The sequence below is a fragment of the Homo sapiens genome, chromosome 5 (assembly GCF_000001405.40).
Source record: "Homo sapiens chromosome 5, GRCh38.p14 Primary Assembly".
NCBI classification, from domain to species: domain Eukaryota; kingdom Metazoa; phylum Chordata; class Mammalia; order Primates; family Hominidae; genus Homo; species Homo sapiens.
The window spans coordinates 177554154-177575893 of NC_000005.10; the positions used below are offsets into that span (position 1 = coordinate 177554154).

A 21740-nucleotide genomic window follows, 5' to 3' on the forward strand; every position below is an offset into this window, starting at 1 on the left:
GCAGGATGGCCCATCCCCAACCCCGCCCCACTCCCGCTCCCGCTCGGGGAAGGTGAAAGCGCCCGAGCCGCCGAAGTCTCCCCGCTCGCTCCTACCTGCGGGCCGGGCACCAGGTTGGGTTCGTCATCCTCCCTGGGGCCGTCGTGGTCGGGCTCCGCCGGCGCCTCCGGAGGGCCTGCACCCGCTCCCGCCTCCAGGCTTGGCGGCGGCGGGGGCTCGGGCGCCTGGGGCTTCTGCGGCCCCGCGGCCCGAGCCCGCTCGCGCCTGCCCGCACCGCCGCTCGGCCTGCTCCGCCTCCGCGTCATGCCGCCGCTCGCGCCGCTCCCTCGCTCCACACGCCGCCGCCGCCGCCGCCGCCGCCGCCGCCGCCGCCGCCGCTACCGCTCCCCTCACAGGACAACAGCCAATATGGCGGCGCCCGGTTCCCCCCCTCCGCCTGCTGCCAACAGGTCAGAGGGCACGCGGAGTCCGCGCCGCCGCACTAGCCCCCGAGGCCGCCTGCGCCATTTTGAATAAGGTCACCACCCGGAGTTCGCTGGGAGAAAAACTTGGTGGGGAGACGCCCTTCCCCCCCTACGCGGGACGGGAAGGATGCAACCTGCTGGAGGAACGCGTGTAATGCGGTGGTAATCGCGCTGCACCACCCTAGCACTTAATAATTGCCTGTTAAATGGATGAGTGAATTAATTTCTATAGTGTTACAATACTTTCACACCCATCGTCTGACTCCTTCCGACAGCACAGCGAGGCAGGTACGGATCATTCCCATTTTGCAGGTGAGAAATATTGAGGCAACATAAAGGCCTGGAAAAGGTTGCTGTACATCATTTTGTTGGAACTCCTGGGCTCGTGGACGGCCTGAGTTGAAAGGGACGAAGGTCTTTATTTGCAACATATGGTCTACTGGGAGTCCAGCGTTCTGTGCTTGGGACAGTGGGACTCAAACCCGACTCCTTGTTCCCGAGTCTGATGGGGAAGGTAGACACGTAGGTACATAGTTACAACCGGTGTGATAACGATGAGACGACTAGGTGTTTCCAAAAAAATAGTATGTGCAGGAGAGGATTTTGGAGTGGTACACAAAGGAGAATTTTTAAAACTTAATAATTATGTATTTAATTGTTAAAAATGGAATTTCCCCCCTCTTTTTGTGAATATACTGTATAATACATGTACATGGCACAGATTAAAAAAAAAAAGTTTTGAGTGAAGTCTGTCTCATGCCTGGGCTATGTACTCTGAAATTGTGGTTATATGCAGAGTTGCTATTGGTATCAACAGGGGCGGAATCCTGACACTGGCTTCCTAACCCATGGGGCAAGGGCTATTTTGAAAGGAAGAGCTACATGGAAGGCCCTGGAGCTCTCCTTAACTACCAAGAAAATAAATCAAAAATAGTACCTTATCTCACCCAGGGATTAATGCCACTATCAAAGATTTGAAAGACGCAGGGTGAGTCCCATCACATCACCATTACCTCTTCAGTTTGCCCAGAACAGAAGAGAGACGGCCTTGAAGAACAACAGAGCATTATGATAAACTTACTTATTCTGGTAAGAACCCCAACTGCAGGCATTCTTCCAGATGCGGTCCTTCTTGGGACAGATCAGCACAGTTGTTGGTCTCTAATAGGCAACAAGAGGTCTGGTCAATGGTTATTCTTCTGTACCAAACACCAGGAATCCCTTGCATTGATCTGGCAGGGGCAGCGGTAAACCCTCACTGTCTTGCTTCAGGGTATGTCACACTCTGGACCCAGCCACTTAGTTTACAGGGATTTTTTTTTTTTTTTTTTTTAATGACAGAGTCTCACTCTATCTCCCAGGCTGGAGTGCAGTGGCGCAATTTCAGCTCACTGCAACCTCCGCCTCCTGGGTTCAAGGGATTCTCGTGCCTCAGCCTCCAGATTAGCTGGGATTAGAGGCACATGCTACCACGCCCCCTAATTTTTTTGTATTTTTAGTAGAGACGGGGTTTCCCCGTATTGCCCAGGCTGGTCTCGAATTCTTGACCTCAGGTGATGCACCTGCCTCGGCCTCCCAAAGTGCTAGGATTACAGGCGGAGCCACTGCACCCTGCCAGTTTACAGGGATTTTTTTTACTAAATCTCCATTCTAATGGATATCAGGCTAATCTGCTGAGGCACTGATGACATCATCTTGATGGACCTTAAGAAAAGGGAATAGCAGATATCCTGGATGATTTGGTAAGGCATGATGTGTGTGCCAGAGGATGGATAATAAATCTCACAAATATATAGGGGCCTCGCAGTAAGCCATCTAGGAGTCTGGGATATGTTGAGATATTTCGTACAAAGTGAAGGGAAAGCTGCTGTAGATCACACTCCCTACTAGGGAAGAGGTGCAATACTTGGGCTGGGGCTTCTTTAGACTTGGTAGGTAACATAGATGTATTTCGATACATTATTATTATTATTATTATTATTATTATTATTATTATTATTATTATTATTTTGAGATGGAATCTCTGCCACCCAGGCTGGAGTGCAGTAGCGGGATCTCTGCTCACTGCAACCTCTGCCTCCCGGGTTTGAGTGATTCTCCTGCTGGCCTCCGGAGTAGCTGGGGTTACAGGCGCGCACCACCATGCTCAGCTAATTTTTGTATTTTTAGTAGAGACAGGGTTTCACCATGTTGGTCAGGCTTGTCTCGAACTCCTGACCTCCTGAACCTCCGGCCTCAGCCTCCCAAAGTGTTGGGATTACAGGCATGAGCCACCGCGCCCGGCCTGTACTTAGGTACGTTATTTTGACCAGTTACTGGGTCACTTGAAAGCTGCCAACTTTAAGGCAGGATCATACAAAAAGAGAAACTTTTCTTAGTGGACCAGGCTGCAGAGTAAATAGTTCTGGCTTTGGTCTTAATACTCAAGCATTGGATTTTGGAGCAAACTTATGCTTTCCTTCAGCAAATAGTTATATTCCATTTTAGAAATAGCTCCTGGCTTGCTTCAGGGGTCTGGTGAAATTGGATGCCTGATCCTGGCCTACTAGGTGACCACGTGACCTGAACTGAGTGTTATCTGATCTACTCAGCCATAAAATCAGGGGTGCTCAGCAACACCCTGTCATCGAGAGGAAGTGACATGTGTGGGTTGGGTCCATGCAAGTCCTAAAGCACAAGTAGGTTGCCAGAGCAAGTTACTTACATTCCTCTGCTGCCACCCTCTTCTCCATTCCATCCTTCAACCTGGATCAGTGGTTTCATGAACGGTTTAATGATGAGTTGACTAAGGAAGAAAAATCCAAAGTCCAGTTTGCAGATGGCTCTGCATGGTGTGCTGGCTCCAGCCAGAAGCAAATTGCTAGAGTGTTCTAGTCTTCCTCAGACAGGGCCCAAGGGCACAGAAAAGGGAAATCCACGCAAAGACCCTGAAATAAAGACACATCAATTCCTGGCCATTGGATCATGATTTACTCTGTTGTTGAGGGACTTGAGGGAAAAAAAGACTGCAGGCTTAGTGACAGGAAGTTCTGAGGATGACAGATGTGGAAAGATTGTCCAGAATGGCTTCAGAACATAAGGCTATTTGTGTCCCAGATGAACGTTCATCAAAAGAACCTCTTAAAAGTCCGATGGGCAGTATGGCCCCTTCTGTGGCTGTCAGACTGTCTCTTCCCAGCTATTTAAGAACTTATTCAATGGCTGCATGAGAAAACTGGCTCAGCAATTTGGACTGTCTCCTCCCTGAGGCTGGCTGACCTATCTACTCTCAGTGCTGAGTCCAATTTGCAGGAACCAGCCAGAGGTCCGTGTGGAACCTTACTCTGAGGGGCACACCTGACTCTCTTCTAGCAGGATGATTACTTTGGACTATGTATTAGGGCTGGTTAGCTGCTGTAACAAACCAACCTCACATAGCAAGAGTTTTAACACCTTAGATCTCGTCTACCTCGTGTCGCAGGCCAATGCCTGTTGAAGGGGACTTTGCAGTCACTCAGGGATCCAGTCTCCTTGGATCTTGTGGCTCTGTCTTCACCTCGGCTCTCAAAGTCCTCTTCATTCATCCAGAGGATGGGAAAGGCAAAAAAGTGAGGGTTGCATGGGACATTTCTATGAGCTGTACCCAGAAATGAATATACATCACTTTTACTCACGCGCCATTGGGGAGAATTCCACTGTATGGTTCCCCCAGAGGATAATCCTTCCCTCCTACTTCTTCCTCTCTCCCCAGGCAGCACTGATCTGCCTTCTGTTTCTACAGAATATTTTGCATTTTCATACAGTATGTATTCTGCTTTGCCAGGCATCTTTCCTGCAGCATAATTATTTTGATTCATCCATATTGTAGCGTGTTTAGATAGCTCATTCCTTTATACTGCAGAGTAGTATTCCATTGTATGGAAGTATCACATTTTGTATCCATTCAGTGCTGATGAGCAGTCATGACAAACATTTCTCATGCATTAAATTAGCTTATTATGCTGCTCTGAGAACTGGAAGAAAATATATTTAAAGCCCAGTACAGGCTGGGCGCAGTGGCTCATGCCTGTACCTCCAACACTGTGGGAGGACCACTTAAAGCCAGGAGTTTGAGACTAGCCTGGGCAACAAAGCAAGACCCTGTCTCTCCAAAAAAGAAAGAAAGGAAAAAAAAGCTGGCATGGTGGTATGTGCCTGTAGTCCCAGCTACTTAGGAGGCTGAGCTGGGAGGCTTGCTTGAGCCCAGGAATTCAAAGCTGTAGTGAGCTGTGATCACTGCCACTGCAGTCCAGTCTGGGTGATAAAGCAAGACCCTGTATCTGTAAGAAATAAATAAAGTCTGGGTGCAGTGGCTCACGCCTGTACTCTCAGCACTTTGGGAAGCCAAGCTAGAAGGATCACTTGAGGCCAGGAGTTTGAGACCAGCCCAATCAACATAGTGAGACCCTCCATCTCTACAAAAAATTAAAAATTTAGCTGGGCGTGATGGCACTCATCTGTAGTCCTAGCTACTAGGGAGGCTGAGGCATGAGGATCCCTTGAGCCCAAGAGTTCGAGGCTCCAGTGAGGTAAAAAGATGCTACTGCACTCTAGCCTGAGTGACAAAGCGAGACGCCTTAAAAAAATAAAAATCCCTTAAAAAAATGAAAATAAAATATATTTAAAACAAGTATACAATGCACAATATAGTGAAATTGTATCACATACAACTGTTTAAACATGTATTTTGTACATGTTAACATGTGAGAGCAGGATTGGCTTCATAGATACATAACCTGTGCCACCACATAGGGCTCCACGCCCAGAAGGGCTGTGTGCCTGGCTCAGTGCTCTGCTGTCGCTTCCTTGAAATTCTTTATTCTTTCTTTCTTTCTTTTTTTTTTTTTTTTATTGATCATTCTTGGGTGTTTCTCACAGAGGGGGATTTGGCAGGGTCATAGGACAATAGTGGAGGGAAGGTCAGCAGATAAACATGTGAACAAGCGTCTCTGCTTTTCCTAGGCAGAGGACCCTGCGGCCTTCCGCAGCGTTTGTGTCCCTGGGTACTTGAGATTAGGGAGTGGTGATGACTCTTAATGAGAATGCTGCCTTCAAGCATCTGTTTAACAAAGCACGTCTTGCACCGCCCTTAATCCATTTAACCCTGAGTTGACACAGCACATGTTTCAGAGAGCACGGGGTTGGGGGTAAGGTTATAGATTAACAGCATCCCAAGGCAGAAGAATTTTTCTTAGTACAGAACAAAATGAAAAGTCTCCCATGTCTACTTCTTTTTACACAGACACGGCAACCATCCAATTTCTCAATCTTTTCCCCACCTTTCCCCCCTTTCTATTCCACAAAGCCGCCATTGTCATCCTGGCCCGTTCTCAATGAGCTGTTGGGCACACCTCCCAGATGGGGTGGTGGCCGGGCAGAGGGGCTCCTCACTTCCCTGTAGGGGCGGCCGGGCAGAGGCACCCCTCACCTCCCGGATGGGGCGGCTGGCCGGGCAGGGGGCTGACCCCCCCACCTCCCTCCCAGACGGGGCGGCTGGCCGGGCAGAGGGGCTCCTCACTTCCCCGTAGGGGCGGCCGGGCAGAGGCGCCCCTCACCTCCCGGACGGGGCGGCTGGCCGGGCGGGGGACTGACCCCCCAACCTCCCTCCCGGACGGGGCGGCTGGCCGGGCGGGGGGCTGACCCCCCCACCTCCCTCCCGGACGGGGCGGCTGGCCAGGCAGAGGGGCTCCTCACTTCCCAGTAGGGGCGGCCAGGCAGAGGCGCCCCTCACCTCCCGGACTGGGCGGCTGGCCGGGCGGGGGGCTGACCCCCCCCCAAATTCTTTCTTTCTTTATTTATTTTTGGAGATGGAGTCTCGCTCTTTCGCCCAGGCTGGAGTGCAGTGGCGCGATCTCAGCTCACTGAAAGCTCCGCCTCCCGGGTTCACGCCATTCTGCCTCAGCCTCCCGAGTAGCTGGGACTACAGGCGCCCACCACCACGCCGGCTAATTTTTTTGTATTTTTAGTAGAGACGAGGTTTCACCGTGTTAGCCAGGATGGTCTCCATCTCCTGCCCTCGTGATCCACCCGCCTCGGCCTCCCAAAGTGCTGGGATTACAGGCGTGAGCCACCACTCCCAGCCTTGAAGTTCTTAATGTTTGAACAAAGGGCCCACATTTTCATTTTGCTCTGGGCACTATAATTTATGTTGCAGGACACAGGACGAGCTACATAAGTTGTATAGTTTTTAACTGTTTTTAGGGGACATACAAGTAAAAGTTTTTAACTGCTTTTAGGGGACATACAAGTAAAAGTTTTTTTTTTTTTGAGACGGAGTCTTGCTCTGTCCCCCAGGCTAGAGTGCAGTGGCACAATCTCGGCTCACTGCAACCTCCACCTCCCGGGTTCAAGTGAGTCTCCTGCCTCAGCCTCCCGAGTAGCTGGGATTGCAAGCGTGTGCCACCACACCCGGCTAATTTTTGTATGTTTAGTAGAGACAGAGTTTCACCATGTTGGCCAGGCTGGTCTTGAACTCCTGATCTCAAGTGATCCACCCACCTTTGTGGGCAGCAAGCCACCCAGGTGCCAAGGCAAGAGACCAAGGACACGAGCTGTTCCAGTATAATAAAATATATAAAACAATAAGAGTTATACTAGATCTAGATCATAGACATGATTATATATGAATATCATTAATCATTAGTTTGTAGCAATTACTCTATATTCCAGTATTATAATAATCCTTGCTGTACAATCATAACCTAGGAAAAACCGAGCCATACAGAGATAGGAGCTGAAGGGATATAGTGAGAAGTGACCAGAAGACAAGAGTGGGAGACTTCTGTTATGCCTGGACAGGGCCACCAGAGGGCTCCTTGGTCTCCATAACGCCAGCATCTGGGAAGACGCCCGTTGCCAAGCAGACCGTGGTCTAGCAGTAGTGTCAGTGCCAAGGAAAACACCCGCTACTTAGCAGACCGGGAAAGGGAGTCTCCCTTTCTCCGGGGGAGTTTAGAGAAGACTCTACTCCTCCACCTCTTGTGGAGGGCCTGACATCAGTCAGGCCAGCCCACGGTTATCCGGAGGCCTAACCGTCTCCCTGTGATGCTGTGCTTCAGTGGTCACGCTCCTAGTCCGCCTTCATGTTCCATCCTGTGCACCTGGCTCTGCCTTTTAGATAACAGTAGCAAAATTAGTGAAAGTACTAAAAGTCTCTGATATGCAGAAATAATGGCGTAAGCTGTCCTCTCTCTCTCTCTCCCCCCGCCTTGGCTGTCAAACAGGGAGGGGGCCCCTGTCCAGTGGACACGTGACTCACGAGACCTTATCAATCATTGGAGATGACTCACACTCTTTACCCTGCCCTTTTTGCTTTGTATCCAATAAATAACAGTGCAGCCAGGCATTCGGGGCCACTACTGGTCTCTGTGTCTTGGTGGTAGTGGTCCCCTGGGCCCAGCTGTCTTTTATCTCTTTGTCTTGTGTCTTTATTTCTACAATCTCTCGTCTCTGCACACGGGGAGAAAAACCCACTGACCCTGTGGGGCTGGACCCTACACACCTTGGCCTTCCAAAGTGCTGGGATTACAGGTATGAACCACCACGCCACTGCAAGTAAAAGTTTTGAAAGCCACTAAGCGCTTGGGCTTTTGGAACCCCAAATCCAGGATGGTTTGCAAGGCCTCCTCCTTTCCACCCTGTGACTTAGTCTCCCCTCCCAAGGCAACAGGCATGGAATCCCTAGTTGCTCGCGTGGAGAGGAAGGAAGGGGAAATTGCAAGGGCAATGTAAACTAGATTACCATTTCAGCATTGTTTCCCATCGGCACAGGTAATGTTGGGTGCTAATGAGCCTCACAGGTGTGTGCTTCAGCCAGCCCCAGGGAAGTCACTGAGCACCATCTGTCCAATCCCCCTCATCACAGAGGAAAGCAGATCCAAGCCCCTTCCTCTCCTTGAGTTCTGGAGTTGGACCTCAGCCAGACAGAGGGATTTCTTAGCACTTTTTGAGGGAGGAAACCAACTCTGATCCCCTCTTCCTCAGTCCTCCTCCTTCTAACCTTGAGAATGGGCTTGCACCTTTGGGCAAAAGGAGTTTAGAGGAGAGGAAATATGGTTGCAGAGGGTGAGAGATGGGGTCGGGTATGAGGGATCTTGAATCCCAGGGTGAGATTGGACCTTCCTCTAGGGTGATGGAGCTGGGGCACAGAGGAAGAAGGAAATAGGGAAATCCAGGTAAGGCCCTCTGGGGAGGTGAAGCCTGCTGGACTTTGCCTTGATCTTTTCCAGGCCTAAATGTTATAGTAACTATTATTAAAAGTTTTAATGGTATATTTTTAACAGATACTCTTTTTCTACGAATAGTAAATTGCTACTAGATTGCATTATTAAAGTAAATGGTAATTACTCCTGATTATTACTTAACTGGGCAAGAACAATTAAACCTACACTAAAGGCCCTATGAGGGAACACCACCAGGGGAAGGAATAAAACATCACAGACAGTGTTGAAGAACCTGAATTTGCCTGGGGTGTTTAGGAAACAAACCTCCCAAATAAGGGAGGAGAGACTTCCTGTTGTTCACCACTCCGGCTTCATCTGACCTCTAAGTCTTGTTGATTCTGCTTCCAAAATATTTACTCCGGTTAGGATGAATCTCTGTTCATAAACCCACGTGTGCAAGAAATATAAAGTTTTCTATAACTCCACCTAATTTCCACTTGGCACTCTGCTGGAGTGACAGAAATTTAATCTCAGCTAATTTAGGGTTCCCTGAGGCTGTGCATAAGGGCTCAGGGCCTTATGAGTGTGTGTGTTGGGGGAATCTAGTTCTTAGTGTCATCTGTCCCCACAGGCATTCATGGAGAGGTCATTGGTCCCCACTGGTTGGTGCTGAGACCTGGCTCGTTCTTCCCCACAGCTGGCTTTCCTCCTCCAGCCATTCTTGCCTGTGGGAATCTGGGTGAGGCTATCTAAGGTCTTCTCCTAGACACACCTCATTGGCGTTCCATGCTGACTGTTCCTGCTTCCTGGGATAAGTTCCCTCTGCTCTTGGATTTTGTGCCCCCTCTCTGGGCCCCTCAGATGTTGTTGTCACTTACCTCCATTCTCTTCTTCACTTCCTTCCTTCCTTTTCTCTAGCCTCCAGAAACCTCTGTTTTAGGGTCTCTGGAAGACCCTCAAGAGATGGCCCTGTCTCCCTGACCAGGGTTCTAAACACACTGGGAAATGAAGCAAAGGAAAGGCAGATGGAGTCACAATATCAGCCTTATTACCAACTAAGTCATGCCCCAGGTCAGAGTATGTTGCTTGGTGTGGGCTGATGACTGAGCCCCCAAGTTAGGCAGACACCCCCCGCAGCCCCTGAGTTGTGGCAGTACTGGGCTGGGTAGGCCTCCCTCTCAGAATCCCTGTAGGGGCAGTGGGTGTGGACCCATTGTAGGCAGGGAGATCCCAAGAGGAAGAAGGGCAGAACAGAGCAGATCATGCACCCGATTCTCCAGACGCACTGATCAGAGGACTCATTCTCTCCCCATGATGCAGAAGTAGCAGGCCTGTGGGGCCCTACCACCTGGAAAGAGTGAGGAATAGGCATCTCTCCTAATCCTTCCTCCCTCTCCTCTTGCTCTTGATGTTTCTTGGAACTTTTCAGCTATGTCTGAGACTTCTTTTCTCTAAGTCCTTTTGAAACCAAATCCAGAAATATTTTTAAAGATATTTTTATTACAGACCTTTAAAACATAGACAAGTATAGACAGAATTCCGTAATAAATCCCCATGTCCTCATGCAACCATCAGTCAGCTTCAGCAGCTATCAACTCATGGCCACTTTTTCTTTTTTTTTTTTGAGACGGAGTCTCACTCTGTTGCCCAGGCTGGAGTGCAATGGCACGATCTCAGCTCACTGCAAGCTCTGCCTCCCGGGTTCACACTATTCTCCTGCCTCAGCCTCCCGAGTAGCTGGGACTACAGGCACGTGCCACCATGCCCGGCTAATTTTTTGTATTTTCAGTAGACGGGGTTTCACTGTGTTACCAGGCTGGTCTCGATCTCCTGACCTCGTGATCCACCTGCCTCGGCCTCCCAAAGTGCTGGGATTACAGGCGTGAGCCATCGTGCCTGGCTGGCCATTTTTTAAAGAGAAGAGATCTTGCTCTGTCACCCAGGATGGACTCATATTCCTGGGTCCAAGCAATCCTCACTTCCCAGGCTCCCACGTAGCTGGGACTACAGGGATGCACCATCTTATCTCGCACATGGCCTATTTTTTTTTTTTTTTTTTGAGACAAAGTCTCGCTCTGTCTCCCAGGCTGGAGTGCAATGACATGATCTCAGCTCACTGAAACCTCTGCCTCCCAGGTTCAAGTGATTCTCCTGCCTCATCCTCCCGAGTAGCTGGGAATATAGGCACCTGCCATCATGGTCAGCTAATTTTTGTATTTTTAGTAGAGACAGGGTTTCACCATGTTGGCCAGGCTGGTCTTGAACTCCTGACCTCAGGTGATCCATCCTCCTCGGCCTCCCAAAGTGCTGGGATTATAGGTGTGAGCCACCGCGCCTGGCACACATGGCCTGTTTGATTCATCTGTACCTCTACCTTCTCTCCCCACGCCTGTGTTGAAACAAATCCAGTGCATCATAACCAGAACTCTTGTTTCTGTTTTCTGCACCGTCATGTCCCGCCCCTGAGGTGCAATGAGCACAGAATGGACTAGCTATTTGAGAGCGGGGGTGGGAGGGCAGATGTGAATTACTAGAGAAAAAGAAAAACAAATGGCAACATTAGACAAACGTTATCCTGTTGTTTCCATTTTCCTCACCACTGTTCAAGTTCAGGACTCATCATTTACTTCTGGCAGCAGCTTGGTAACTAATCTCCTTGCTTCTTCTCCCTTCTAGATTACTGGTGTTTCCTCAAGTGACCACTTGTGTCATAAAAACTTGGAAAATGGACTGACATGCAGATCCGTGGGCCACTCTCCAGCCCCACTGAATCAGACACTTTGAGGTGGATTTCAGGTATTTTTTTTTTTTTTTTTTACAAACCTCCAGGTGATTCTCAAACACAGTACTGTGGAGAACCACTGTCCAAACCAGTCTTGATGCTGCTCCCAGTGCTATCTTGAAACACTAAGTCTGGCCCTGTCACCCCTGCTTACAACAACTCAGGAGGCCCCCTGCCTGAAGAATAAGTGCCAAGTATTTTTTTTTTCTTTCTTTCTTTCTTTTTTTTTTTTTTTGAGTCGGAGTCTCGCTCTGTCGCCCAGGCTGGAGTGCAGTGGCGAGATCTTGGCTCACCGCAACCTCCGCCTCCTGGGTTCAAGCAATTCTTCTGCCTCAGCCTCCTGAGTAGCTGGGACTACAGGCATGCGCCGCCATACCCGGCTAATTTTTGTATTTGTAATAGAGACGGAGTTTTGCCATGTTTGCCAGGCTGGTCTCAAACTCCTGACCTCAAGTGATCCGCCTGCCTCTGGCCTTCCAAAGTGCTGGGATTACAGGGGTGAGCCACCACGCTCAGCCCAGGCCTGGTATTTCCTTCTGGACTTTGCCTGACAGCAGCATCTTTCCCCATCACTCTCCACCTTGAACCCTGGGTTTTAGCCACATCTTACAACTTTGATGTGCTCAACTCTCTGGATTCTCTCCCTTATGCCTCCCAGGGCTGATAAACTTGTGCTGATCCTTCAAGGACCAGGTCAAGGGTGCCTTCTTCTTTGAAGCCATCTGTGGACTCACTCTGCTGTACATTGTAGTGGAAAGGCTTGGGAGTCAGACAGAGTTAAGTTAAAAGCTCTGCCACTTGCTAGCTGCGTGACTCCAGGAAAGTCCTCAGTTTCTCTGGGTCTCAGTCTCACCATCTAGAGAACAGGGATAAAAGTAGTGTCTTGGCTGGGTGTGGTGGCTCACGCCTATAATCCCAGCACTTCAGGAGGTCGAGGTGAATGGATCACTTGAGGCCAGGAGCTCGAGACCAGCCTTGCCAACATGGTAAAACCCTGTCTCTACTAAAAATGCAAAAGTTAGCTGGGTGTGGTGGTGTGCACCTGTAATCCCAGCTACCTGGGAGGCTGAGGCAGGAGAATGGCTTGAACCTGGGAGGTGGAGAGTGCAGTGAGCCAAGATTACTTCACTGCACTCCTGCCTGGGCAACAGAGTGAGACACCATCTGAAAAACAAACAAACAAAAAGAGTGTCTTATGGCATTGTGAGATATAAATGGAGACGTTAGCACAGTGCCTGGCACATACAGTAGGGTGTCCAAAAACAAGAGCACCCTAACAAGAGCCTGGCACAGACAGTTAAAGTCCAGGGCATCTTGAAATGTGGTATGTGGGCAGGCACAGTGGCTCATGCCTGTAATCCCAGCTACTCAGGAGGCTGAGGCAGGAGAATGACTTGAATCTGGGAGGTGGAGGTTACAGTGAGCCGAGATCCCACCACTGCACTCCAGCCTGGGCAACAGAGTGAGACTCCCTCTCAAAAAATAGAAATGCAGTGTGTGGTTCTCAGTGCCTCCAATAACTAATGCAGCCTGCCCGTCAGAAGTCAGCTAACAAGGCTGTGTGCAGTGGCTCATGCTGTAATCCCAGCATTTTGGGAAGCTGAGGCAGAAGAATTGCTTGAACCCAGGAGGTGGAGGTTGCAGTGAGCTGAAATCGTGCCATTGCACTCCAGCCTGGGCGACAAGAGCAAGACTTCATCAAAAAAAAAAAAAAAAAAAAAAAAAAAGAAAGAAAGAAAAAAGGTCAGCTAACAAAATGACTTATTACGGAAAGATAGCGAAGTCGTCACTGCTCTGTTGGACAATAACAGCCTTATCTCAGGGCCCCCTGCCTCCAGACATTTATACCTTCCAGCCCTGCCATGCACCGCCCCAGAGTGAATTTTCTAATAGATGTCATAATGTAACTGAGGGTTTCAGTAGTTTCCGTTCTGAAATGGCTCTCCACATCCATGCTTCTGATGCATAGCCTTTTCTGAGCGCCTGCTGAAATAGGCAAACCAAATAGGAACAATGAGTCCTCATCACTGGACATTAAGAAGGGTCTCACCTACACATCTGAAAATGCGTGGTCCGGCAGGAAGTCATTCTGATTAGGGCAGAGTGCAGATGGGAAATCTGCTGGTCACCTAACCCACTCACTTCCTGGTCCCACTGATATCTCTTGGCTTAGAGTTGGGCCAGGAGACAAGAGCTCTCATGGTCTGCAAGGCACGTGAACTCCAATAGGCTTGAAGCCCACCCCAGGAGCATCTGCAGGGAATGGGGACCTCACATAGGATCTCACACCCAGAGTGCCCATGACAGGGGGTCTGGATAAAGGTGTGGGGGTGGTTTATTGAAGGATACTTAATTGGAGAGAAGAGGTAAGTAACAAATTACACCAAAACTTAGTGTGGCTTAAAACAAAAATAAGCATTTATTATTTCATGTAGTTTCTTCAGGCTGGGAATTTGGGAGTGGCCTAGCTAGGTGGTGGATTGACTCAGCATCTCTCATGAAAGGTGAGGGCAAGATGTCACTCGAAGGTTGGGTGCAGTGGCTCATGCCTGTAATTCCAGCACTTTGGGAAGCCAAGGCGGGTGGATCACTTGAGGTCAGGAGTTTAAGACCAGCCTAGCCAACATGGTGAAACCCTGTCTCTACTAAAAATACAAAAATTAGCTGGGTGTGGTGGTGGGTACCTGTGATCCCAGCTACTCGGGAGGCTGAGGCAGGAGAATTGCATGAACCTGGGAGACAGAGGTTGCAGTGAGCCGAGATCGCACCACAGCACTCCAGCCTGGGTGACAGAGCAGAAACTCCATCTTGAAAAAAAAAAAAAAAAAAAGAAAGATGTCACTAGGGGCTGCAGCCATCTGCAGGCTCGATGGGGCTGGAGGAGCCACACCCATGAGGGTGCAGTCAGGCTGCTGGTGGGAGGCCCCTGTCCTCACCGTGTGGGCCTCTCCGCATCCTATTGGTTACACAGACTGACCCTCTTTGGTGTGAAGGGGGACAACACAGGAGCGTGAACACTAGGAAATATGAGTCATCGAGGCCACCTTGGAGGCTGGCTACCCAAGGGAGGTTGTCTCCAGCCAAGGCAGAGGGGAAGAGGAGTCCTTCCACTCCAGACACAAAATATGATACAAAATGTAGATGCATTGTTCAGCTTCAAAGGAAGTAAGGGACATCTTCAGGGCCAGGAGAAAGAGGCACATCAGGCCAGGTGCGGTGACTCATGCCTGTAACCCCAGCATTTTGGGAGGCCGAGGCGGGCGGGTCACAGGGTCAGGAGATCGAGACTGTCTGGGCTAACATGGTGAAACCCCATCTCTACTAAAGATACTAAAAATTAGCCACGCGTGGTGGTGGGCGCCTGTAGTCCCAGCTACTTGGGAGGCTGAGGCAGAAGAATGGCGTGAATCCGGGAGGCAGAGCTTGCAGTGAGCCAAGATCGTGCCACTACACTCCAGCCTGGGCGACAGAGCGAGACTCCGTCTCAAAAAAAAACAAAAAAAAGTTCATATTAATTGGCCTGGAGCCCTATTTACTATTCCAAGAATGTCTTTTTTCCCTCACCTCCCTGCACTGTCTGCAACTCAGGTGCCCGGCCAGTTGGGTGAGGATTTTGCAGGATAGAACCCTGGAAAGCTTGGAGAAGCCCCGGAAGCACTCTGTTTTTCTCTGGCTGCTTTTGCTGCTGGGGCCCCACGGTGTGGTCAGAGGTCCAGCAGGGCAGCGGGGTGGGGTGGTGGGGGTGCTTTTCTGGTGCAGCTGGAGTGCCCTTGGGAGGCTGGGGCTCTGTCCTCTTCATTTCTGCCACTCAGTGGCTCTGGGGAGGGAGAAAACAGTAGTAGGGCCCAGGGGATGTGGCTTGCCTTGGCTGTCTCCTTGAAAGGAAAAGCAGTTCTTCCCTGTGACAGCCTCCAGAGGTTCTCTGATGCTGGGCTGGACGGCATTTGCAGCCTTAAGTTTGGGAGTAGCTTCCTTTCCCCCATTTCAAAGCCTTCCCTCATTTTCTGACCCAGAAGAGGGGCATTGCTTGGGGAGATGGGAAGAAACTAACCTGGTTACTTTTTCCTCTGCAGATAAATCTTCACAGCTATTTACAAAGTGACAACCTCTCTCTAAAAATCCTTGCTTGGAGGTCACCTTGTAGTGCTGAGGATTTTCACAGATAAGATAGCTCTTCAGAGAGCCTGGATCTTGGAAGAGGCATTTTCTCACTGTCTCATCTGGCAAATGATATCCCATATATCAGTGATACCTTTATCTCCCAGGGGCGAGTCCTCTGGCTGTCCAGCTACTCAGATGCACCCAGGAGCATGCCAATCATATTATCATTATTGGACAATTATTAATTGTTGGACAATTATTCATCAGACTGTGAAAATTGGAGTTAGCTAGACCTGCATATCACCTAGAGTGAAAGCCAGAATCCTTACCGGATGCCCTCCTCCTCCTGAGCTCTTCCTTTCCCCTTTCTCACTGTATCCCAGGCACTTGCCTTCCTTGGTCTCCATACTCCCACCTCAGGGCCTTTGCACATGCTCTTTCCTCTGTAAAGATGGTGGCAGCTGACCAAGGACAGGAAGTGAGGCTTCTGTGCAGCGTACAGGCAGTCAGGGATGTGTCTGCAGAGAATTTAAAAACAATAACACTGACTAAAAATTGGTTTGCATTTTTTTTATCATCACCAAGTGCTGGTAATTCTAAGTAGTGTCACTGATGAAACACTCCCCAGGGAAGTATTTTACCAGCTTCTGTTGGTCTAAGTTATTAATATAAACAATTGCTGGGGTTACTGATAAGTTTTTGTTTGTTTGTTTGTTTTTTATTTGAGACTGGGTCTCACTGTATCGCCCAGGCTGGAGTACAGTGGCATGATCTTGGCTTACTGCAACCTCTGCCTCCCGGGTTCAAGCAATTCTCCTGCCTAAGCCTCCTGAGTAGCTGGGATTACATGCACACACCACCATGCCCGGCTAATTTTTGTGTTTCTAGTAGAGATGGGGTTTCACTGTGTTGGCCAGTCTGGTCTTGAACTCCTGACCTCAGGTGATCCTCCCGCCTAGGCCTCCCAAAGTGCTGGGATTACAGGCATCAGCCACCATGCCTGGCTGATAAGTTTTAATAATATACATATATGCTTCAAATTATTATTTTTTATTTACCCTTTAATAAACATTGTGTTCTATGTGGAAATTAATTGTGAGAACTCCCAGTCATACAGTTGTCTCCTCCCCAACTCCCCCAAACGGCTTTCTGAAATGAAAACAGAGAAACATTCATTTCAAGAGTAAAATTGGCTGGGCGGGGTGGCTCACACCTGTAATCCCAGCACTTTGGGAGGCTGAGGTGGGCGACATGGTGAAACCCCGTCTCTACTAAAAATACAAAAAATTAGCCGGGAGTGGTGGTGGGCACCGGTAATCCCAGCTACCTGGGAGGCTGAGGCAGGAGAATCGCTGGAACCTGGGAGGCGGAGGCTGCAATGAGCTGAGATCATGCCACTGCACTACAGCCTGGGTGACAGAGCAAGACACAAGACTCTGTCTCGAAAAAAAAAATATATATATATGGCCAGGTGCAGTGGCTCACACTTGTAATCCCAGTATTTTGGGAGTCCCAGGCAGATGGATCATGAGGTCAGGAGTTCAAGACCAGCCTGGCCAAGATGGTGAAACCCCATGTCTACTAAAAATACAAAAATCAGCCAGGTGTGGTGGCGCAGGCCTGTAATTCCAGCTACTCGGGAGGCTGAGGCAGGAGAATTGCTTGAACCCGGAGGTGGAGGTTGCAGTGAGCCAAGATTGCATCACTGTACTCCAGCCTGGACAACAGAGTGAGACTTGATCTCGAAAAAAAAAAGTAAAATTGGAGCTGTTTGGAATTGTTTGAGTTATAGTCAAGGGCAGTTTGTGGCTCCAACCCCCTGACAGTACATATTCTTGTGTTTAAAGATTCAGAATAAAAAATGATAGTATAATGATCTTTCCTTTTTAAATTATGTTTTTATTTGTTAATTTTTTTATTTTTTATTTTTCAAGACAGGGTCTCACTCTCTAACCCGGGCTGGAGTGCAGTGGCATGATCACTGCTCACTGCAGCCTCGACCTTCTAGGCTCAAGCGATCCTCCCAATGCAGCCTCCTGAGTAGCTGAGACTACAGCTGTGTATTACCATGCCTGGCTAATTTTTTTATTTTTTGTAGAGACAAGGTCTCTCTTTGTTGCCCGGGCTGGACTTGAACTCCTGGGCTCAAGCAATCCTCCCGCCTCGGCCTTCCAAAGTGCTGGGATTGGAGGCAAGAGCCACCACTCCTCGCCTGTATGATGATTTTAAAGACAAAGAAACAGAATTTATTTCATTTCTATAATCCTGTACGTGACCACATTTATTTGTATTTAGCATGTAAAACAGTGGGAAAGTGCATATTTTAATTGATATATGAAGTTGTTTTATTGAATTTCAATAGTATCTTTTAAAATTGATCTTTGTTTTAAAATTGTTCATTGTTTTAAAAGTAAAAAAAGAATAAAAAGCACATTAAATTAGTGGGGTGCACTTTAGTAGTTGCCTCAGTGGTACTTCTTGACTTCTCTTCTACCCCCTTAGGTTCTGTGAATTGAACTGACCTAAGAAGATTAGCGGGGGAAAGCATGCACATTTAGATGTTAAAATTTTAATTTTTATGTGTACATGGACACCTTCCTAGAAAAGAAATGAAGACCCAGGCCATGTACAGTGGCTTATGCCTGTAATCCCAGCACTTTGGGAGGCCAGGGCAGGAAGATCACTTGAGCCCAGGAGTTTGGGACCAGCCTGGGCAACACAGTGAGACCCTGTCTCTAATTAAATTAAAAAGAAAAGTAAATTAAAAAAGAAATAAAGACCCAAAGAAACAGCTTATAAACCATTTTAACAATGAATGATAAATTGTGGACATGTGACAAGACAAAGAAAAAAGGGACTTGAGCTGGGACTGAAAAATTGTGGGAAAGTGACTAGGAATATATGGGGGAAGCTAATGAAAGATGAATTCTTTTCTTTTCTTTTTAAGAGACAGGGTCTTTCTATGTTGCCCAGGCTGGTCTTGAACTCCTAGACTCAAGTGATCCTCCCACCTCTGTCTTCTGTGTGGCTAGGACTATAGATGTGTGCCACTGTGCCCAGCTAATAGGGCTATTATTATTTTTTGAGACAGAGTCTCACTCTGCCATCCAGGCTGGAGTGCAGTGGTGTGATCACGGCCCACTGCAGCCTTGACCTCCTGGGCTCAAGTGATCCTTCCACTTCAGCCTCCTGGGTACCTGGGACTACAGGTGCATGCCACCACGCCCGGCTAATTTTTTTGTAGAGATGGCGTTTTGCCATGTTGCCCAGGTTGGTCTCAAACTCCTGGCCTCAAGTAATCCACCCACCTCAGCCTCCCAAAGTGCTGGGATTACTGGTTAAGCTACTGTGCTCAGCTTGATAAGGGCTATTTGAATAAAGCTTGCTTTGTACAGATTCATTTCAGCATCGACTCCTCATCTCCAGTGATTATAATGTTCTTCACTTCCTGTTATTAGAAGGGCACCTTTCGGCTGGGCGCGGTGGCTCACGCCTGTAATCCCAGCACTTTGGGAGGCCAAGGCAGGCAGATCACGAGGTCAGGAGATCAAGACCATCCTGGCTAACACGGTGAAAACCCATCTCTACTAAAAATACAAACAATTAGTCGGGCGTGGTGGCAGGTGCCTGTAGTCCCAGCTACTCAGGAGGCTGAGGCAGGAGAATGACGTGAACCCGGGAGGCGGAGCTTGCAGTGAGCCGAGATTGCGCCACTGCACTTGGGCCTGGACGACAGAGCGAGACTCCATCTCAAAAAAAAAAAAAAAAAAAAAAGAAGGGCACCTTTCTCTTGGGAAATTTATGCCCTTCTTTTAGGTAGAAAGTGGGAGGTCAAAGAGCGCTTCCTGCATCTGCTTTGTCTCAATTGCCTTTAGCTTAAAATAATTGATATCTCAAAGTGGCATATTTTGGGTGGCATGTTCTGATTCCCTTCAGGTTCTTAGTTTTCCCCATCCAGCTGGGAACAGTGGCTCATGCTTGTAATCCCAACACTTTGGGAGGCTGAGATCGGCCGATCACTTGAGCCTGGGAGTTTGATACCAGCCTAGGCAACATGGCTAAACCCCATCTCTACAAGAAATACAAAAATTAGCCAGGCATGATGGTTCATGCCTATTTTTCCAGCTACTCGGGAGGCTGAGGCATGAGAATCGCTTGAGCCTTGGAGGCAGAAGTTGCAGGGAGCCGAAATCTCACCACTGCACTCCAGCCTGGGTGATAGAGCAAGACTCTGTCTCAAAAAAAAAAAAATTCCCTATCCTCATTCTTTCCTAAAGTGGCAAGAATAGAGGTGGGACACCCCAGTCCCTGCCTACAGACTTCCTCAGTGTAGCAGATTCTTCACAGCATGTCTGTGGAGCCATGAACAGAAGACGCAGACTCCTCTCTTTCTGTGTCCCTTCGGGCCCAGGTGTCAAGGACTCCCTTCCATCCTAGATAAATCTCTCCACCTGGGTTCTGATTCCACTTCCTCCCGCCTTTTTGAGGACCTGGCTTCTTCTATTTTCTCTTCTGTTATCTTAAATCCTGTTTCTGCTACATTTTCTGCCTAAGAATATAAATGACCTATCAACCTTTTTTTTTTTTTTTTCTTGAGACAGAGTTTCATTCTTGTCACCCATGCTGGAGTTCAGTGGCGAAGCTCCTGGGAAGCTCCACTTCCCAGGTTCAAGTGATTCTCCTGCCTCAGCCTCCTGAGTAGCTGGGATTACAGGCATGCACCACCACACCTGGCTAATTTTTGTATTTTTAGTACAGACGGGGTTTCATCACGTTGGCCAGGCTGGTCCCGAACTCCTGACCTCAGGTGAGCCACTGCCTTGGCCTCCCAAAGTGCTGGGATTACAGGTGTGAGCCACTGCGCCTGGCCTATCAACCCTATTTTTGACAATGACAATAATGAGGATGGACTATATGGCCCTCCTGCAGGTATAGCCCTTCCTTTCTCCCTGCCTTCCAAAAAGCAGAAGACACATTCTCACGTCCCTTTCACTCTTGGCTCCTGTTTTCCTCACGCCAAGAAGCTGCTCTGGATTAGCATGAGAGTAAGGTCTTGGGGGCCTTGGAAACTTCCACCTCCACTGGATCAGCCCTCTCAACGGCTCCAAGGCTGACACTTGCTGCCTTCATGTACCCACATCCCCTGGAGGCCATGGCACCACTCTCCTGACTGCCATCCTCCTTTTGAGCTCTCCCTAATCATCCTTCCTCCCCAGGATTCTGCCCACCTCCTCATCCAGCTTGCTCTATTCTCCTGGCTTTGGAGACAACCTTTGGGTTGGCCACATTGCAGATCTAGCTCCAAGGGAGAGATCTAGAAGGTCAATCTCTCCCTTGACCTTCAGCCTGTTAGAAATGTTGGTTTTTCGGTGCTGTAAAGAAATAGCACTTGAACATAAATTTAATTTCTTCAACAAGGCCATTTTTACTTTTTGCAGAAAGGATACACTCGCCAGCACTTTTGCCACGAGAGTACACTGAACAAAGGAGACAGGGTCATCTATAACCTGACGCGTCCACCTTCCTGCTGTGTCCGGTTTTTATTGGCTGGAACGGGACCTCACATTTTGTATTTGTCCTGATTGGCTAGTAACTTAGAACTTTTTAAAAGAGGCAAAGGCAGAGGAGAACAAAAGAAGGAGGAAGTAACTTGTGGAATGCTGAGAAAGGTAAAAACACCTTCAAATAAGGAAGAGGAACAGGCTATGACCTAATGCTTGCTTGGACCAGTATAAGCATGCCGGGGCAAATATTTAGGCTAAATTGTGGGAGCTAAAAACATAAAGTACATTGATTTCTTTATTACGGCTAGCAGATATTTAAGATGTTAGCACAGGTCTTTGAATAAATTTTGCTTCTAAGAGAAGTTACTATTTATTCCTAATTAGATGGGAAGGAAAGTCTTTGAAGAAGAACCTCTACTTTACTTTTTACAAGCCCTACCCAGCAGTCCTATTTTTCTCTTCTCAGATATCATTCCCTTCAGTGGCTACTTGAAGACGTCATTCTGCCTAAGATCCCTAAACTGCTCCCCCTTATTCTTAGTGGGCCATATCAGAGGGAAATGTCACCTGCCTGCCTGTGATACTCTCCCAAAGCTAACTGAGCTCACACATCTTTGCCTGCTTTTCACCAGGCCAAAGCCAGTGCCCCACCTGTGAACTGATCTTTTGTTCACTTGAGGCCACATGAAACTTGAAACATGAATTGTTG

At 48.6% G+C, this 21740-nt stretch overlaps 1 protein-coding gene and 1 long non-coding RNA gene across 13 annotated transcripts in view, besides 7 other annotated features; one reads left to right on the plus strand and one right to left on the minus strand.

Annotated features, from left to right (window-relative positions):
- FAM193B (family with sequence similarity 193 member B) overlaps nt 1-410 on the minus strand; it is a 34776-nt gene extending 34366 nt beyond the window's left edge. For all 11 annotated transcript variants that reach the window (XR_007058608.1, XR_427804.3, XR_007058607.1 and 8 more), the window contains exon 1: nt 96-410. Coding sequence is in view for 8 of the 11 variants with exons in the window: in XM_011534572.2 (XP_011532874.1) it covers nt 96-305 (210 nt within the window). In the remaining 3 variants the exon portion in view is untranslated. The remainder of the gene's footprint in view (nt 1-95) is intronic.
- Nucleotides 19-228: a silencer, noted in NCBI's record as "silent region_16703". NCBI's record gives its function as "represses an Ori minimal core promoter by ATAC-STARR-seq in GM12878 lymphoblastoid cells {active_cell/tissue: GM12878}" and the evidence as "EXISTENCE:reporter gene assay evidence [ECO:0000049][PMID:35858748]".
- Nucleotides 19-668: a biological region, named in NCBI's record as "H3K27ac hESC enhancer GRCh37_chr5:176981263-176981766".
- Nucleotides 109-612: an enhancer, noted in NCBI's record as "H3K27ac hESC enhancer chr5:176981263-176981766 (GRCh37/hg19 assembly coordinates)". NCBI's record gives its function as "activates a minimal SCP1, AML or CMV promoter by ChIP-STARR-seq in primed H9 embryonic stem cells {active_cell/tissue: H9 hESC(primed)}" and the evidence as "EXISTENCE:reporter gene assay evidence [ECO:0000049][PMID:30033119]".
- Nucleotides 339-498: an enhancer, noted in NCBI's record as "active region_23729". NCBI's record gives its function as "activates an Ori minimal core promoter by ATAC-STARR-seq in GM12878 lymphoblastoid cells {active_cell/tissue: GM12878}" and the evidence as "EXISTENCE:reporter gene assay evidence [ECO:0000049][PMID:35858748]".
- On the plus strand, nt 475-21386 carry FAM193B-DT (FAM193B divergent transcript). 2 transcript variants are annotated; one of them, XR_941274.3, is made up of 3 exons: nt 475-776; nt 11321-11440; nt 20966-21386. It is a non-coding gene; the product is annotated as an FAM193B divergent transcript (long non-coding RNA). The 2 variants fall into 2 exon arrangements; XR_007059074.1 differs by lacking the exon at nt 20966-21386 and adding an exon at nt 17462-17978 and having other exon boundaries at nt 475-752.
- Nucleotides 519-668: an enhancer, noted in NCBI's record as "active region_23730". NCBI's record gives its function as "activates an Ori minimal core promoter by ATAC-STARR-seq in GM12878 lymphoblastoid cells {active_cell/tissue: GM12878}" and the evidence as "EXISTENCE:reporter gene assay evidence [ECO:0000049][PMID:35858748]".
- Nucleotides 2831-3277: a transcriptional cis regulatory region, noted in NCBI's record as "candidate enhancer chr5.4836 targeted for multiplex CRISPR interference". NCBI's record gives its function as "positively regulates DBN1 gene expression with high confidence in K562 cells {active_cell/tissue: K562}" and the evidence as "EXISTENCE:mutant phenotype evidence [ECO:0000015][PMID:30612741]".
- Nucleotides 7188-7356: a transcriptional cis regulatory region, noted in NCBI's record as "candidate enhancer chr5.4837 targeted for multiplex CRISPR interference". NCBI's record gives its function as "positively regulates DBN1 gene expression with high confidence in K562 cells {active_cell/tissue: K562}" and the evidence as "EXISTENCE:mutant phenotype evidence [ECO:0000015][PMID:30612741]".
- Nucleotides 21387-21740: the final 354 nt, after the last annotated feature.